The 17,051-nt window shown below is 49.9% G+C and overlaps 4 annotated features.

Moving 5' to 3' along the window:
- Positions 203-365: a silencer, noted in NCBI's record as "fragment chr6:36973029-36973191 (GRCh37/hg19 assembly coordinates)". NCBI's record gives its function as "represses an EF-1alpha promoter that drives an FKBP-Casp9 reporter gene in an ReSE screen in K562 erythroleukemia cells {active_cell/tissue: K562}" and the evidence as "EXISTENCE:reporter gene assay evidence [ECO:0000049][PMID:32094911]".
- Positions 6,748-7,371: an enhancer, noted in NCBI's record as "H3K27ac-H3K4me1 hESC enhancer chr6:36966023-36966646 (GRCh37/hg19 assembly coordinates)". NCBI's record gives its function as "activates a minimal SCP1, AML or CMV promoter by ChIP-STARR-seq in primed H9 embryonic stem cells {active_cell/tissue: H9 hESC(primed)}" and the evidence as "EXISTENCE:reporter gene assay evidence [ECO:0000049][PMID:30033119]".
- Positions 7,372-7,995: an enhancer, noted in NCBI's record as "H3K27ac-H3K4me1 hESC enhancer chr6:36965399-36966022 (GRCh37/hg19 assembly coordinates)". NCBI's record gives its function as "activates a minimal SCP1, AML or CMV promoter by ChIP-STARR-seq in primed H9 embryonic stem cells {active_cell/tissue: H9 hESC(primed)}" and the evidence as "EXISTENCE:reporter gene assay evidence [ECO:0000049][PMID:30033119]".
- Positions 12,519-12,719: a silencer, noted in NCBI's record as "fragment chr6:36960675-36960875 (GRCh37/hg19 assembly coordinates)". NCBI's record gives its function as "represses an EF-1alpha promoter that drives an FKBP-Casp9 reporter gene in an ReSE screen in phorbol 12-myristate 13-acetate-treated (for megakaryocytic differentiation) K562 erythroleukemia cells {active_cell/tissue: K562(+PMA)}" and the evidence as "EXISTENCE:reporter gene assay evidence [ECO:0000049][PMID:32094911]".

Genomic DNA, 17,051 nt, shown 5'->3' with positions numbered 1-17,051 from the left:
AGGGGAAAGGCCAGCACTCCCGCAGTGGGAGGAGCCTGCTCGGGCCCCACCTCTCCCTCAGGGGGGCTGACCTTTCACACCTGTAGACCCCCATTCCAGAAGCCACCTAAGAGGTGGCAACAGGGCCCAGAGGTAGCTTCTGGAGCCCAGTCTGGGCTGGTGCAGTGGTTTGCACCTCTAATTCCAGTGCTTTGGGAGGCCGAAGCAGGAGGATTGCTTGAGCCCAGGAGTTCAAGACCAACCTGGGCAACATAGTGAGACACCGTCTCTTAAAAAAAAAAAAAAAAAAAAAGGCCACCCGGAGCCAGACCCTTGGCTGGTTTCTTGGCCTAGTGGTTCCAGCCAACCACACTTTCTCCTTCAGAAGGTCCAGTGGCTTTTACTTGGCCTCTTTCCCAGCACCTTCTTTTCTGCATCTGCCCCTGCTCACAGCTGTAAGGAAATAATGTCTTTTTTATTCTTTAGAGACAGAGTGCGGTGGTGGGATCTCGGCTCACTGCACCCTCTGCCTCCCGGTTCAAGCGATTCTCCTGCCTCAGCCTCCTGAGTAGCCGGGATTACAGGGCCTGCCACCACGCCCTGCTAATTATTTGTATTTTTAGTAGAGATGGGGTTTCACCATGTTGCTCAGGCTGGTCTTGAACTCCTGGCCTCAGGTGATCCTCCTGCCTCGGCCTCCCAAAATTCTGGGATTACAGATGTGAGCCACTGTGCCTGGCCAGGAAACAGCATGTTTTATTTAAAATAATCACAAACCTGGTAAGGGTGGCAGGGAGTACTGTGATGTTCCCACCTCCCCACTGGGGTTCTCTCATTTTAGTTGTTGCTGTCATCACCTCATTGCCCCAAGGGAGGGCAGTTTCCTCCCTGAAACTCAGAGGATAATAATAGCTAACATGCACTCTTTTTCATGCTTATGAGTATTTTCTTATTAATCCTATAACAACCTCATGAGGTAGGTACTATTCCTATCCCCACTTTACATAGGAAGAAACAGAATCAGAGAGGTTAAGTAACTTGCCCAAGGTCACCCAGGAAGAATACAAGAGAAGTTGGATTTCCAAAGCAAAAGTGGGTGTCCTACAGTTCCAGCAAAGGTTCGTTGGGAGCCTGGATGACCATGTTCTTGCTGCTCCATCCCCAGGCCTCCCTGATCCCAGGACACTGGGTTGTCTTTGCCTGAGGCCTCCTTTACCACCTGGTCTCCCGGCCCTTACAGAACAAATGGACGCTGCCTCTGTTCCCCTCCTTCAAGCCCCACAGGCCGTTCAGGGCCCTCCCACTGGGCTCTGGTCCCACCAGGGCTCTCCACTGAACCTGGTCTGTGTCCTGGAGTGCAGGGCCTGAGCCTCGGTGCTCTTGGTACGTGAAGTGCCTGGAACAGCTTCACGCTCCAGTAACTGTGAACCCCTGGGGCCTCACATGCCCAACAGCCGCCCTCACCCCAAGCCTCGTCTGAGTGGTTTCTCCCACCAGATGCCGGGCCCCCTGCCCCAAACCCTAAGTCTCACAAACCTCCATTTTTGTTTTTTACTTTTTATTATGGAGAATTTAGAACATATGCAAAACTAGACAGAATCATATAATGCATCCCATGAACCCCTAATCCAGACCATAACAAACCTCAGCTCACAGCCAGTCCCCTGTCCCTGCTGCAGCCACATCGACTCTGCCTTCTCATGTCATTTTGAAGAAAATCCCAGATGTCAGATGACATTACCCATAAACATTTTAGTGTGTATCTAGAAGATGAGAACTCTCTCTCTCTTTTTTTTTTTTTTTGAGACTGAGTCTTACTCTGTCACCCAGGCTGGAGTGCAGTGCTGCAATCTCGGATCACTGCAATCTTCACCCCACTGGGTTCAAGCGATTCTCCTGCCTCAGCCTCCTGAGTAGCTGGGACTACAGGTGTGTGCCACCACACCCAGCTAATTTTTGTATTTTTAGTAGAGACGGAGTTTCACCATGTTGGCCAGGCTGGTCTCGAACTCCCAACCTCAGATGATCCACCTGCCTCGGCCTCCCAAAGTAGTGGGATTACAGGCATGAGCCACCGCGCCCAGCCAAGAACCCTTTAAATAACTAAATATACACACACATAAATGTATATGCATATATACACATGTATAATAGTAATATTGTTTTATATAGACATACATGTTTTACATGTTATATCCATGTGTATATACATATGAAATAATATTACCGTTATCATACCCCAAGAGATATTTAGCAATAATTCCTCAATATAATTAAATATCCAGAAAACATTCCAAGTGCCAATTCCTTATAAATGTTAAATTAAAAAAAAAAATCAGAATCCAAATAAGGTCCACACATTCCCTGAGCTGTCACGTGGATGAATTCACTTTTCATCCACACGTTCCCCTGGTCCTTTCCGTTTTCCCACACAGCATAGTGGAGGGACCCTGGGTTGTTTGTCCTGTAGGTCCCACAGCCAGGACTTAGCCCATTGCAGCGCCATACCCTGGATTTCCTGTCGATGGTGGTTAGGTCTAGAGGCTCGATCAGAATCACCTTTAAATGCCACTTCTTCCCGATGCCCTCCCTGGCCTGGGGGCGCCTCCCTCCCTGGTGTTCCTCTCCTGGATTTCCTCCTCTGCCTCCCACCAGTCTCTCTGCTCACTGGCTGGCTTGCTCCCTCCACGCAGGGCACACCTGAGTACGTGCACTTCCTGGTGGGTCCCCAACCCCAGCGCCCTTCCCGCATACAGTGGGGCCTCAGAAGGCATGTGGAATGGACAGACATCACACCCCAAGCCTCAGAGGATTGTCTTACCCCTCAGCTGCCAGTGCTTTGAGCATCCAAGCCTGAACAATGGGACCTGCCCCTCCCATGGGGGCTGGAGGGTGGGTAGGTGGGCCTTCAAGAGGCCTCCAATACCCTAACCCTGAAGATGGCACAGGCACCATCAGAGCTGCTTCCCTCCAGGAAAAAGAGGCCAAGATGTCTACACCCCCAAAACAACCTTCCCTCATCATCCAAGGCTCTGCCTCCCCTGTCCCCTACCACTCTGACTTGGGCCCCTCACAGTCTGCCAGGCTTTCTGCCTGTACCTGCAGGCATCACCTGAGACTCAGCCTCGGCCTTCTGGTCTCCTGATTCACACACACCTCCCACCCAATTCAGAATTTATCCTGGAGGTCCCACTGGTACCTCTTCCTGCCCTTCTACCCAGTGGATATGTCCAACACCTTCAGGATATCACCAGGTAGATGCCTACCTTTGCTTCCAACTCAACACACAACTCTCTAAAGCCAGCACCATTATTGCACTGAAGTCATCTCAAACTCACTGGGGCAGCCATCAAGATCCTCCTGGTTGACACTCTCAGCTACTTCTTGCCTGCACACACCTAATCTGTGTTGGGATCCAAACCTGCCGGGTACTGTGGCTGAGCTAAGCTGAGCCACGCTGAGCCACAGCCCCAGAATCCCCTTCCCTGCATGGTCTGGACTACTGTTAGCCATGGATGCAGGAGGGGATATAGCAGCCCTGTTTTGTTCCTGGGTCAGTGCAGAGCTCCAGCCCTGTTGCAGATCATACATGTTGATGTGGGTCTGTTGCTTCTCCACTGATCTTCCTTTTCAGCTTGTCCAGCTCCTGGGCCAGGTGCATGCTTAGCTCCAGGACAAAGATAACCTGTGTCATCAAAGTTGATGGCTTGGAGGTGGCCACCTGTCCGTCCTCCAGAGTCCCAGCTCTTCCTGACTAGTTCAGTTCCTCTTTGCTCCCCCTACCTCCCTGCCGGCTTCTCCTCCCCACTGCCTGCCCTGCTTACTTTAGACTCAGAAGCATTAACTCTTTAAGAAGCTCCCACACTGTATAAGGTCAAATTCTGTATTCTGTATTGGATCCCTGCAGTTCTGGCTTGGGCATCCCTCCCTCACACTCTCTCCCTCCCACCTTCCCCCATCTGAGCTGCAGGGAACTGAGCTCTTCCATCTTCTGTATTGTGTCACTCCCGGTCCTTCTGCTTCTCTGTAGCACCTTGGACCAGTAACAGAACTTCACTTTCCTCTTCTGCCACATGGGGATAATTATACTGCCAACCTCCTGTGGTTGTTATGAAGATTAAATGGGATAATAATATATAGAAGAGGTTAGAGTAAGGCCTGGTACTGAGTAGGTACTCGGTGACTGTTGGCTACCAGCATTCTTACTTTTGAGAGAAGCCTTTGCTATAGCTCCGCTCTGCCTTGACCAATCAGTTCCCTTTGCCTAGAGCAGTGGTCCCCAACCTTTTTGGCACGAGGGACTGGTTTCTGGGGTTGCGGGGGGTGGGGAGATGATTTTGGGATGAAACTGTTCCACTCAGATCATCAGGAATTAGATTCTCATAAAGAGTGAGCAAACTAGATCCCTCACATGCACAGTTCACAATAGGATTCGCACTCTTATGAGAATCTAATGCCACTGCTGATGGGACATGAGGCAGAACTCAGGTGGTAATGCTCACCCGCCACTCACCTCCTGCAGTACGGCCCAGTTCCTAATAGGCTACGGGATCCCTGGCCTAGAGTGTCTTCAGTCTGTCTACAGCCGGTTCACTTCCTCCAGGAAGCCTTCCTTTATACCTACTGCTGGAAATTCATTTTCCTCCTCAGAGACCTGGTGTTCCTCTCTGTTTAATTTTGTCTTTTCCGCCCTATTCATTAAGTCACGCATTCAGTAGATAAGTGTTTCTTGAGCACCTACTATGTGTCAATACCATAGTAGAGGTTGTAGATAAAACACAGTCCCCAGCCCTTTAGCTCAAACTCTAATAAGGAAGATGGGCCTGTTAACCACTAAAATAGGATGTGATGAAAGCTTTGAACAAGGGAGTTATGAACATCCAAAGAAGGGTCATCAGAAGGCTTTGTGGCAGAGGTGACTTGAAGTATGAAAGATGAAGGATGGGCTGGGTGCGGTGGCTCAAACCTGTAATCCCAGCACTTTGGGAGGCTGAGGCGGGCGGATCACAAGGTTAGGAGTTTGAGACCAGCCTGGCCAATATGGTAAAACCCCGTCTCCATTAAATTAAAAAAAAAAAAAAGCAAGGTGTGGTGGCAGGTGCCTGTAGTCCCACATACTCAGGACGCTGAGGCAGGAGAATTGCTTGAACCTGTGAGGCGGAGGTTGCAGTGAGCCGAGATTGCACCACTGCACTCCAGCCTGGGTGACAGAGTCTCAAAAAAAAAAAAAAAGATGAAGGATGAAGGATGAGTTAACTCTGTGTGGACAAGACAGGAAGGGGCATTCAAAGCAGAAGGAACAGCATGTGCAAAGGGATATGGGCTTGAGAGACCATGGCTACCATGGCTAGACTGGGAAGAACACAGGGCCTCGCACACGTGGGTGTCCAGGGCCTGGGAAATGGTGGAACCCGCAGCTGAAGGGGTCCTGGAAGCCTGGCCTGCTAGGCTTTGTCTGCCAAACTGAGGTGCTTAGAAGGTTAGGGGAGTGAGTATAGCGTTTTCAGCAGAGTAACCCCTGATCCAGTCTACAGATCTCCCTCTGAGCAGGGGCAATGTCTCCATTTCAGGGCTCTTGGGGTCTTTGGCATGAATAAACCTCTTGTTTTTTTTCTCCTCTTCTCTGCTTTCAAGCCCAAGGGAAGATGGAAGAGCTCAGTTCCCTACAGCTCAGATGGGGGAAGGTGGGAGGGAGGGTGAGGGAGGGATGCCCAAGCAGAACTGCAGGGCCAGGTGGGGACTCGGCTGGCGAGGGATCTCTACCCTGGGGTGCATGCAGAGCGGCTTTGTGTGTAGACTGGAGGCGCCCAGAGGACCTCTTGGGGCAACTTTGGGAAAGCAGAAGGGGCATTTAGAGGCTGCCAGGGAGGAAGTGTCACAACTTAGGATCAGGATGCTATGAGTGTATATGTGTGTATTTGTGGGGTGTGTATGTGACATGTGTGTATCTGGTGTGTGTGTAGGTTGGCGTGTGTGCACGTGCATGTATGTATGTGTGCATTGTGTGTATGAACGGTGTGTGTGTAGCAAATCTGCAGGGGTTCACCAGGTGTAGCCTTTCCGGGGACAGTGAGGACTCCCCAAAGGAGCATTTATCTTCAGGGTGACAAGGACTGGAGGGGACAGGCTGGCATGTTCCCAGGCTCCCCCTTGCCAGCCATCCCACCTCCAGCCTCAGTCAAGCACACAGCACCTGCCAAGGGCTTAATGGCCCGTGACAGACAGGCCTGTGAGCTGGGATGATGCGGCTCTAGAGAGGATGCAGGCAGCCAGCTGAAACCTGTGCCAGAGGCTGCCGTGACCCTTGCCACCCCTCCCGGTCTCCGCCTCACCCCCTCCTCCTGCCCACCCCCACCCCCTGCTTTTGGAAGGCCCTAGTGAGGGCGCTGTCTGGGTAGTCACATGGTGGGCAGAGGCCACACTGCCGATGGGAGGGATGGGCGCCAAGGGCCTCCGATCCCTGGCTTGGAGGGAGGAAGCTGAACAAAGCTGGGCTCCCTTGGAGACTCGTCTCATCTGTCCCCTCCTCCAAGCAGCCAGAATTGTTCCACTCTGTCCCTCTGCCGGAAATTCCACCCTTTGCCGAGGCTTTCTTCTGGAAGGGTGCTGGCCCCTTCTGTGGAAGGCCCGCCGGCCTTCCCGCTTTCACCTTTTCCAGGAACCTCCCTATATTTTGCCTGCTATATGCCCCTGACCCTCTGTGGCCTGGGTGTTCCTAAATGTTACTGTCAACCTGAGGAGTGGAATTATTCCGAGTTGGTTCAGCCCTGTGAGGAATACCGGGAGGCAAAACCCACCTCTCTCAATACAGGCTCCTTGCGGCTCACTGCCCAGGAGGATCCGCTCTGAGAGCACAGCCCAGATAGCAAAGGGGTGTCAGGCCTGACGTGGGGGGCAGATGGGTGTCAGGCCTGACGTGGGTGGCCAGAGGACGTCAGTGAAGAACATAAACAGCTCTTTCTTCTTCAGCGTGTGAACTATCTAGTTTCAAAGTTGGCATTCACAAGGATTGGGCAAGGCTTGTGCCAGGATTGGGCAAGGCTTGTGCCAGGCCCTGGCACCCACCCCACTATTCAGGAAGAACTCAAGGTCACTAGAAGCAGAGATCAGGTGGGGCCCAAGGAGGGAAACCAAGAGTGAAATCGCAGGCGGGCTGAACCCACAGTGAATGTGCAGGCTGGCAGGAGATACGCCCCCGGGACACTGGGAGACGGCAGAGGCAAGGATTGTGTTTCTAGGGGAGGAGAGGGGGCCTGGCAGAGCCAGGGCCGGGATCTGGGCAGGGAGGCACCAGAAAGGAGCCAGTAAAGCAAGGCCAGAGCCCAGGAGTGGTGCCAGGCTGTGCCTGAGAAGGCACCCAGAGTGCAAGCACTCAGCCACCATGCAGGGGCCTCACACCCAGCGACAGGCTCCTTCTCTATCCAAATAGTTGTAGGCCTTTCTCGAGGCCCTGACTGCTTGGTTCTTCACAGCGCTCACACAGAAACATGAGTGGCTTGGAGAGAATTGACAGGTTTCCAAGTGGAGAAAGGGAACACATTGTTCCTGCACAGCCAGCCCGCTGCCCTCCACACTGACGACCTTTCTCCCACGACCCATTCCCCCACCTGTGCTACCTCTCCGCTATCTTCCCACACAATAGCACGACTTATTCTCTGCCTGTGATTTCTGCATGAATGCATCTTGTTACTAGGCTCCTCTTGTACCTTCTTCCAGGGAGCTGTTATGTAACAACCACACAGGAGCCCACTAACAGCCCATTGCTCCCATCAAGGAGCTGCCGAGTTCCCGCCCCTCCTCCCACCAGGTCCCTTCCTTCTTTGCTCTCAGCAAATAGCCCCTGTGCTGGGACCTTGGGAAACAAGGAGAAATGAAACCCAAATCCCATCCGAGGCCTCAGTCCTCACAAGATCCAGAAGGGGCAGGACCTTGGCTCATTTGTCTCTGGGTCCCCAGAAGTTAGTACAGTGCCTGCCAAACAGTAGGCCCTCCACACATCCTTTCTGAGTGGGGAGCAGCACATTCCAGCATGCGGGAGGGGGTTGTGGAAGGTTCTCTTTCCTCCGCCTCTTGCCTTCCCTGAGTTTGGCTTTTGGTCTTTCCTTGGAGCAGCTCCTATCAAGCCAAGCTCCGGCCCTGTTCCCCAACCCCAACCCAGGGCCTGGGCCCTCTGACCTGACAAATGCACCTCAGTTTCCCACCAGTTGTGGCCTCAGGGCTCCAACGTGAGTGAGCCACCCTCCCTTCTGTCATGCCCCATTCCCTCCGTCTGATTCCTAGGGAACAAAAGAAAAAACAAAACAAAAGAACCCCCAGACATTCCCAGTCCTCTGCAGGGCAATTCAGGAAGAAAGCTGGCTGGATGGCCCTACTTTAGCCTCAGTTTCCCCATTCTTTTCAAGGGTCCCTTCTTCTGGTCTACATTAGGGATATGTCTTTTTTTTTGAGACAGAGTCTCGCTCTGTCGCTCAGGCTTGAGTGCAGTGGCGCAATCTCGGCTCACTGCAACCTCCGCCTCCCGGGTTCAAACAATTCTCCTGCTGTAAAGCCTCCCAAGTAGCTGGGATTACAGGCACCTGCTACCACATCTGGCTAATTTTTGTATTTTTAGTAGAGACAGGGTTTCACCACGTTGGCCAGGCTGGTCTTGAACTCCTGACCTCAGGTGATCCACCTGCCTCGGCCTCCCAAAGTGCTGGGATTATAGGACATTAGGGATAGTCTGAATCAGGATGGTCTGATTGGTGTCTTACTGGGTGTGATTGCCATGTCCACAGCCAATGGCCTGCAAAGTCCAACTCCCTGACCTCATCTAGGCCACTCTCCCCTTTCTCTTGGCTCCAGGACCATGGCTTCCTCTCTGCCCTCCACCCCACCAAACTCCCACCTCAGGGCCTTTGCTCTTGTCCTTCCTCCTATCCAGAACTGTCTTTCTACAGTCACAGTGGCTCACACCTGTAATTCCAGCACCTTGAGAGGCCAAGGCAGGAACATCACTTGAGACCAAGAGTTCGAGACCAGCCTGGGCAACATAGTGAGACATCTTGGCACAAAATTTAAAAATTAGCTGGGTGTGGTGGTCAGCACCTGTAGTCCAAGCTACTTAGCGAGGTAGGAGATCGCTTGAGCCCAGGAGTTTGAGGTTGCAGTGAGCTATGATTGTGCCATTGCACTCCAGCCTCGGTAACAGAGTGAGATTATATCTCAAAACACCCCAAAACAAGGAACTCTCTTCCATGAGATATCTGCGTGGCTCACCCTCTGGTCACCTTCAAATCTTTGCTTAAATGTCACCATCTCACTGGCCTTTCCCTTCCCCCGGAGACTCCCTGAGCTGCAGCAGCACCGCACATTCCCAGTGTCCCTTCCCTGCTTAATTTTTCTCATGTATCACTTTCCGAGATATTGATTTATTTATTATATTTGTTGTCTGTCTCCCCACTGGAATATCAGCTCCATGGGGGCAGGCACTTTTGTCTATTTTGTTCTCTGCTCTTTCCCCAGCATCTATAACAGTGCTTGGCACGTGGTAGGTGCTCGGTGAATACTGGTCAAAGGAATTGCGGGAGAATTCTTGCTTTCTCTCTCTCCTAAGCTCTCACAGGACAGAGGCTCCAGGACACCCAGCTTCACTGTGAGCCGAGGCTCATGCTGCCTCTGGTCTCTGCTTGAACCGCAGGCTCAAGTCTCCTGGACAGGATGCAGCTTCTACCTGGTACCCAGTGGGGGTTGAGGTATGGCAAGCCACACTTCCCTTCCTGCCCTGCCCCTTTATTAGAGGTAGGGATTACAACCTAGCGAGGGAAACGAACTTAAAACTGGATGCTACATGTGACTCTTCCCTTAATCTGAAGGAAAAGGCACCTTAAATTGTACCTTCCTAAAAGGGGGAGGGCCTTCCTTGGTCTCTCTTTGAAAGTGTTATCTTCTGTGGGTCTATGACTCCCCCAACCTGGGAAACATCACTCTCAGGTTGCAAGATGCCAGCCAGATGCAAGCCAGCATCCTGGTCACTTTAGCCCTTGCCTCTGAGCACGCCATTGTTTTCTGTCTGGAACAGTGCGGCCCAACCCTCCAGCATATTGGAATCATCCGGAGAATCTTACTCAAACATTTTAGTTAAGACCTCGTCCCCAGAGATGCTTAGTCAACTCTCTGGGCTGAGGAGCGGGCTTATTTAAAATTAAAAACAATAACAACAACAACAAAGAAACCAACTCCTTTGGTGATTCTAATGCTCAGCCAGGATTGGGAATCGGGGGTCCAGGCAATGCCTTGGCTGGAGGGTGGCGATCTTTTGTGTCCCAAGTCCCATGGAGCACCCAGAGTGAGCATGAGTACCCCAAGATGCCAAGTCTGATTCCTCCAACTGGGGAAATTGTGGGTGTGCATGGGTATTCTTCAGCTCACCCAAAAGTTAACTGTTCACACAGACACACCCCAAACTAGCTCTCACAGTTGACACAGTTTAAGCCAGGATTTGCAAACTCAAATGATGACTAGAATCACACAGAAAATGTACCAGTTTGCAGCAGGTGCATTGTTAAGACGTGGATACTATGGGTGGAGAATCCATGCCCTTCTCATGGGGGCAGGTTTTACCCTGTTACAACCTGTTGTTACCAAGAAGGGATGCAGATCTTGTGGTGCCTGATTTTGCCCTTTGCTCTCCCCAGGAGAAATCAGGATTCAGGAATTTTAAATGAAATAACCCATATTTTTTTTCTTAAAAATCCTGATCCTGTGAATGGGTTGCTAACTTCAACCAAACTGCCACACCTGGCAAGGCTGACCCCACAGTGGGGTATTTCATATTACCACTTTATTTCTTTATTTTTTTGAGATGGAGTCCCGCTCTGTCATCCAGGCTGGAGTGCAGTGGTGTGATCTCAGCTCACTGAAACCTCCACCTCCCAGGCTCAAGTGATTCTCCTGCCTCAGCCTCCCAAGTAGCTAGGATTACAGGCATGCACCATCACACCCAGCTAAGTCTTGTATTTTTAGTAGAGGCAGGATTTCACCATGTTGGCCAGGCTGGTCTCGAACTCCTGACCTCGAGTGATCTGCCCACCTCAGCCTCCCAAAGTGTTGGGATTACAGGCGTGAGCCACCACACCCGGCCTCATATTATCACTTTAGGGCAGTGTCAGTTTCTTTACATCATCCTTAACATTCAGACTAATAGGAAATGGCTATTTGCTCCAGAGTAAGACACTGTTTAATGTATTCTCAGCTCTGCCAAGAATCCCTGAACCTTCAAAATAAAGGGTTGTTGCAGTGATGTGCCAGAGTTGGCTCACACTGGCTTGCAAAATTCAGTTGTGCCCAGCTCTTCCCAACTTCATGCTCAGTGACATCACATCAGCAGCTTGAAATCAGCCATGGCGAGAGTATTTATACCAGATGAATTGGTAAGTGCTGTAAACCAGAACATTTTCCCCCCTAGAGAGCCCGTTGTTACATGCTTACCAGCACAGCATTGCTTATAAGGATTCAGACTCTTTGCCAAGGAGTTGTGGAGAAGCAGTGAAGAGAGTAGTCCATTTTTCTGATTACATTAGGATTTACATGAATGTGTGCAGTCCCTTCCCTTTAAAACCCCCAGATGCCCACTAAAATGTGAAAATGTATTCTTAAAATTGTTAAATTTTAATAATACATTAAAATATATTCTTCCTTAATTAAAGAATAATGTTTGCACAATAAGATGGCCAGATTTGGCTGGGCGTGGCGGCTCAAGCCTGTAATCCCAGCACTTTGGGAGGCTGAGCCAGGCAGATCACCAGGTCAGGAGATAAAGACCATCATCCTGGCCAACGTGGTGAAACCCCGTCTCTACTAAAAAAACAAAAATTAGCTGGGCATGGTGGCGCATGCCTGTAATCCCAGCTACTCCGGAGGCTGAGGCAGGAGAATCATTTGAACCAGGTAGTAAGAGGTTCCAGTGAGCCGACATCGCGCCACTGTAGTCCAGCCTGGTGACAGAGCGAGACTCTGTCCAAAAAAAGAAACAAAACAAAACAGAAAAAGGCCCAGATTTTAAGAGTACTGTCTAATGGACTTCTACTATTACACACACCATGTAACCACCACGCTGATAAAGATGAAGAACATTTCCATCCTTCCAGAAAGTTGTTCATGCTCCTCTCCAGTCAGTCCTCCACCATGGGCAAGCACTCTTCTGATTTTATCCTGATAGATTCATTTTGCCTGTTTTAGAATTTTATATAAATGGAATCACACAGCAAGTGCTCTTTTGTGTCTGGATTTTTTTCTCTCAGAATAATGTTGCCCATATCAATAGTTCATTCCTCTTTATTGCTGAATAGTCTCCCTTTGAATTAATGGTCCTGATAAAATCTTAATCCTGAAACTCACCCAAATGCCATGCAAGAGCCCACTAAAATTTGATTTTTACTGATTGCCACAAAAGAGGAAAACATCTTTTCACCTCTTAGGATAAACAGACTGGGTCACAGAAGATTTAGGTGGACTTGCCTTTTTCCACGAAGAGAATGACAGAGCAGAACACAAACCAGGCATTTGATCCTTTCTGACATGGGGACAGTATTGGACTCACTGCAACGTACCACATCTCCTTGGAGTTTAAAGGCCCTCACTTCCCCTCTTTGCTCTTGTAAGTTTCATGCCAAAGCCTTTGGGCCTCTCAGTCCCAAGTTGTCTTCTGTGTTTCCCCATTAAAACTTGGGAATTAGCCAGGCGTGGCGGCCCATGCCTGTAATCCCAGCACTTTGGGAGGCTGAGGCGGGCAGATCACCTAAAGTCGGGAGTTCGAGACCAGCCTAGCCAACATGGTGAAACCTGTCTCTACTAAAAGTACAAAAATTAGCTGGGTGTGGTGGTGGGCACCTATAATCCCAGCTACTCAGGAGGCTGAGGCAGGAGAATCGCTTGAACCTGGCAGGTGGAACTTGCGTGGTGAGCCAAGATCATGCCACTGCACTCCAGCCTGGGTGACAGAGCGAATTTCCGTCTCAAAAATAAATAAATAAATAAATAAATAATAAATAAATAAAAACTTGGCAATTATTTGGCTTAGCAATTCCTCATGCCAATACACTTCTGGTGACCTGCATGATATGCCAGAATTCCTGAGATGACTGCAATTCTAATGTACCTTCTTTTAGCATAATAAGGATAAGAGGTGTTTTTTTTTTTTTAATTGAATGGCTCTATCTCATAATAATTCTCTGCTTCTTTAATTCAGTGTCCCCTTAGAACTCCTGGGGCTGGGCTGGGTGCAGTGGCTCACGCTTGTAATCCCAGCACTTTGGGAGGCCGAGGTAGGCAGATCACGAGGTCAGGAGTTCGAGACCAACCTACCCAACATGGTGAAACCCCGTCTCTACTAAAAAATTAGCCAGGCATGTTGGTGGGCACCTGTAATCCCAGCTACTTGGGAGGCTGAGGCAGGAGAATTGCTTGAATCCGGGAGGCAGAGGTTGCAGTGAGCCGAGATCGCGCCACTGCACTCCAGCCTGGGCGACAGAGCAAGACTTTGTCTTGGTGGGGGTGGGGGTGGGGAAGAACTGCCAGGGCTATCACCAGCTAGTAAGAAGTCCCTATTACTCTTTGGGTAGAAGTGGTCCCACACCGGCAAGTTAACCAACCTGCTTTGTGCAGAAAAGGGCTGGGTTGTACAAATAAAGAACCATCCACAAAGAAGGGAGTGATGGGAGGCTGGGGAAATATTTAAAGCAATTTACAGAGGAAATTCTCAAATCCAAAGATGAGGCATTCCCCCTGGATGTTTTTGCAGCATTTTAGACGCATGTATTGAGTGGTGACTTTGCCACTCTGTTGCCTCCCTTATCCCCTGTTCACACTGCACATCCAAGGAAAGAGAGGCTCAGAGAGGCTCTCAGGGCCACACAGCTGTGAGCAGCAATGCCAGGATTCAGAGCAAGCTGCTGTTGACTCCCATTCCCAAGTCTCCTTCACCAGGTAGAGTTTCTAGAGAAGTGAGCAACTGCAGAGCTCCCAAGGACAGACATGGCTGCAGAGTGTAATTTCAAAGGGAAAGTAATGACCCTTTAAGAAGGGGCTGTCTCAGGCCAGGTTCAGTGGCTCATGCCTGTGACCCCAGCACTTTGGGAGGCTGAGGCAGCCGGATCACCTGCGGTCAGGAGTTGGAGACCAGCCTGGCCAACATGGTGAAACCCCGTCTCTACTAAAAATACAAAACTTAGCCAGACGTGGCAGTGCAAGCCTGTAAGCCCAGCTACTCAGAAGGCTGAGGCAAGAGAATCACTTGAACCCAGGAGGTGGAGATTTCAGTGAGCCGAGACTGTACCATTGCACTCCAGCCTGGGTGACAAGAGCGAAATTCTATTCCCCCCCCCACCCAAAAAAAACAAAAAAAGAAGGGGCTGTCTCCACAGGTGGTATGATGACATGAATAAGGAAGACCAGAGTGAGGCTGGCATCAGGGTGTCCTCTGGCTCGCATATACATGGTACCCACTTTGGGTGTCATTAGTACATGTGAGCCACCAGGATGTGTGTCTCAACTGCTGAAATCTTGCTCTCTTCACAGCCTGTACATCCAGAAGACCTTTGTGTCAGCAATACCCTTGAAGTCACTGGCCTGCCTGCCAGCAGAAGCTGGAGGTCCAGGGTCATCACTTTGCATGCTTGTCCATTTTCTGTCTTTGCCCTCCATTCAAGAGTGTAGGGCATCACATTCAGGCAGAGCTGGACTCAAACCCCGGCTCCACCTCTTATTAGCTGTGTGATCCTGAGGAAGTTACTTAGCCTCTCTGGATCTCAGTTTCCTCATCTGTAGAATGAGGATAATCATCGTAGCCCTGGCCCCATACTGTAATAGTAAGAGGAGTTAATACTTGTAAAGCAAACAACAGTGTCAGGCAGAGTTGAACACCTGTGCAGGCTGCCTCACTTCACTTAGCAGAAGAGTCCCTGACTATAAGACAATTAATTGAATTTACGTATTAAAATTTTTCAGGCTGGGCACGGTGGCTCATGCCTATAATCACAGCACTTTGGGAGGCTAAGGCAGGTGGATCACTTGAGCTCAGGAGTTTGAGATCAACTTGGCCAACAGGGTGAAACCTCTTCTCTACTAAAAATACAAAAATCAGCCAGGTGTGGTGGTAACCACTTGTAATCCCAGCTCTCAGGAGGCTGAGGCACAAGAATTGCTTGAACTGGGAGGTGGAGGTTGCAGTGAGCTGAGATCTTGCCACTGCACTCCAGGCTGGGCAACAGAGTAAGACTTTCATAAATAAATACATACATACATACATACATAATTGTTCAGTATAATCCTATGTTGTCATTGTTTTCTTTTTATTTATTTATTTATTGCTTTTTAGATGGAGTTTTGCTCTTGTTGCCCAGGCTGGAGAGCAATGGCATGATCTTGGCTCACCGCAACCTCTGCCTCCCGGGTTCAAGCGATCCTCCTGCCTCAGCCTTCCGAGTAGCTGGGATTACAGGCATGCGCCACCATGCCCGGCTAATTTTGTATTTTTAGTAGAGACGGGGTTTCTCCATGTTGGTCCAGCGCTGGTCTCAAACTCCTGACCTCAGGTGATCCAGCCACCTCGGCCTCCCAAAGTGCTGGGATTACAGGCGTGAGCCACCACGCCCAGCCTTGTTGTTTTCTTTTTAAGAGGGTGGGGAGAGGCAGAGGCAAGTGGAATTGGAACCAGGACCTAAAGTCGGCTCCTTTTGCAGCTTGGCTTCTGGGTGGGGTTGATGTCTGAGGGTGGGACCCCAGGGATCCAAGACAGAAGAAAAGCCAGTGTTTCCACTCCCACCTCGCCCTCACCCCAGACAAGCAGGTGATCAGAGGCAGCAACCGGAACTAGTTCTCACCCAAAACTAGTAAACAGGAATCCTACATCGAAATGAGCCCATCTTCTTTACACCAAGGTTGATTCTCCTTACACCTTGTGCACCTTCCCTGGAGCTATGGTTTAAATGTTCCTGCCAAAACTCAAGTTGAAATTTAACTGTCAATGTAATGGTATTAACGATGGGAACTTTAAGAGGAGATTAATGCTCCTATCTCAGGAGTGGATTAGTGATCTCAAGAATGGGCTTCAGAAAAAAGGACAAGTTCAGCCCCCGTTTGATCTCTCTGTCTAGTGTGCTCACTCCGCCTTCCACCTTCTGCCATGGGATGACCCTCCCCAGACGCTGATGCCACGTTTTTGGACTTCTCTGCCTCCAGAACTGTGAGAAATAAGTTTCTTTTTTTATAACTTACCCAGTCTGTAGTATTCTGTTAACAGCAGAAAACATCAGGTGAGGCCAGAACTCTGATGCCGCCCTTGACATCACCTTAGTTCCCTCCTGACTGGATCAGTATGATGTCAAATTAATTGCAATGGTGGGTACTTACTAATTTGCATTTACTTTTCATTACAACATATCCCACAGGATTCCAGGGACCTGGGATGGTCTGTATTCTTGGCAGTTCTCAAGATCTACGAGTCTTATTTCCTGTTAACTTTTTTCCTTTTGCTTGATCCTATCGGGCACATGGATCTTCCTAAAGTTTTGATTCTGTAATTAGTGCTACCATAAAAAACTGTACAATTTTGGAGAGTGTTTTTGCTCAGTCATTCATTTTCTAGTAATATTTGTTGTGTTCCTATCATGTGCCAGGCATTGAGCCAGGCTTGGGGTTCAACTATGAATAGAACAGTCCTGGCTGTCAAAGAGCTTACAGTCTAACAAGGGAGACTGACAAGAAAACAGGCAGTCACAGTGCAGTGTGGTCAGCACTGCATATGTGAGGTGGCATATGCAGAGGGTGGTGGCACCGAAGTGGGGGGCACTACCCAAGCCCAGAGCTTACAGCCTTTTTTTTTTTTTTTTGAGATGGAGTTTCACTCTTATCGTCCAGGCTGGAGTGCAGTGGCGTGATCTCGTCTCACTGCAACCTGTGCCTCCTGGGTTCAACTGATTCTCCTGCCTCAGCCTCCCGAGTAGCTGGGACTGCAGGCATGCGCCACCATGCCCAGCTAATTTTTGTATTTTTAGTAGAGACGGGGTTTCACCATGTTGGCCAGGCTGGTCTCG

This window comes from Homo sapiens, chromosome 6 (assembly GCF_000001405.40).
Source record: "Homo sapiens chromosome 6, GRCh38.p14 Primary Assembly".
In the NCBI taxonomy this organism is placed as follows: domain Eukaryota; kingdom Metazoa; phylum Chordata; class Mammalia; order Primates; family Hominidae; genus Homo; species Homo sapiens.
This window is presented reverse-complemented; position numbering and strand designations above follow the sequence as displayed.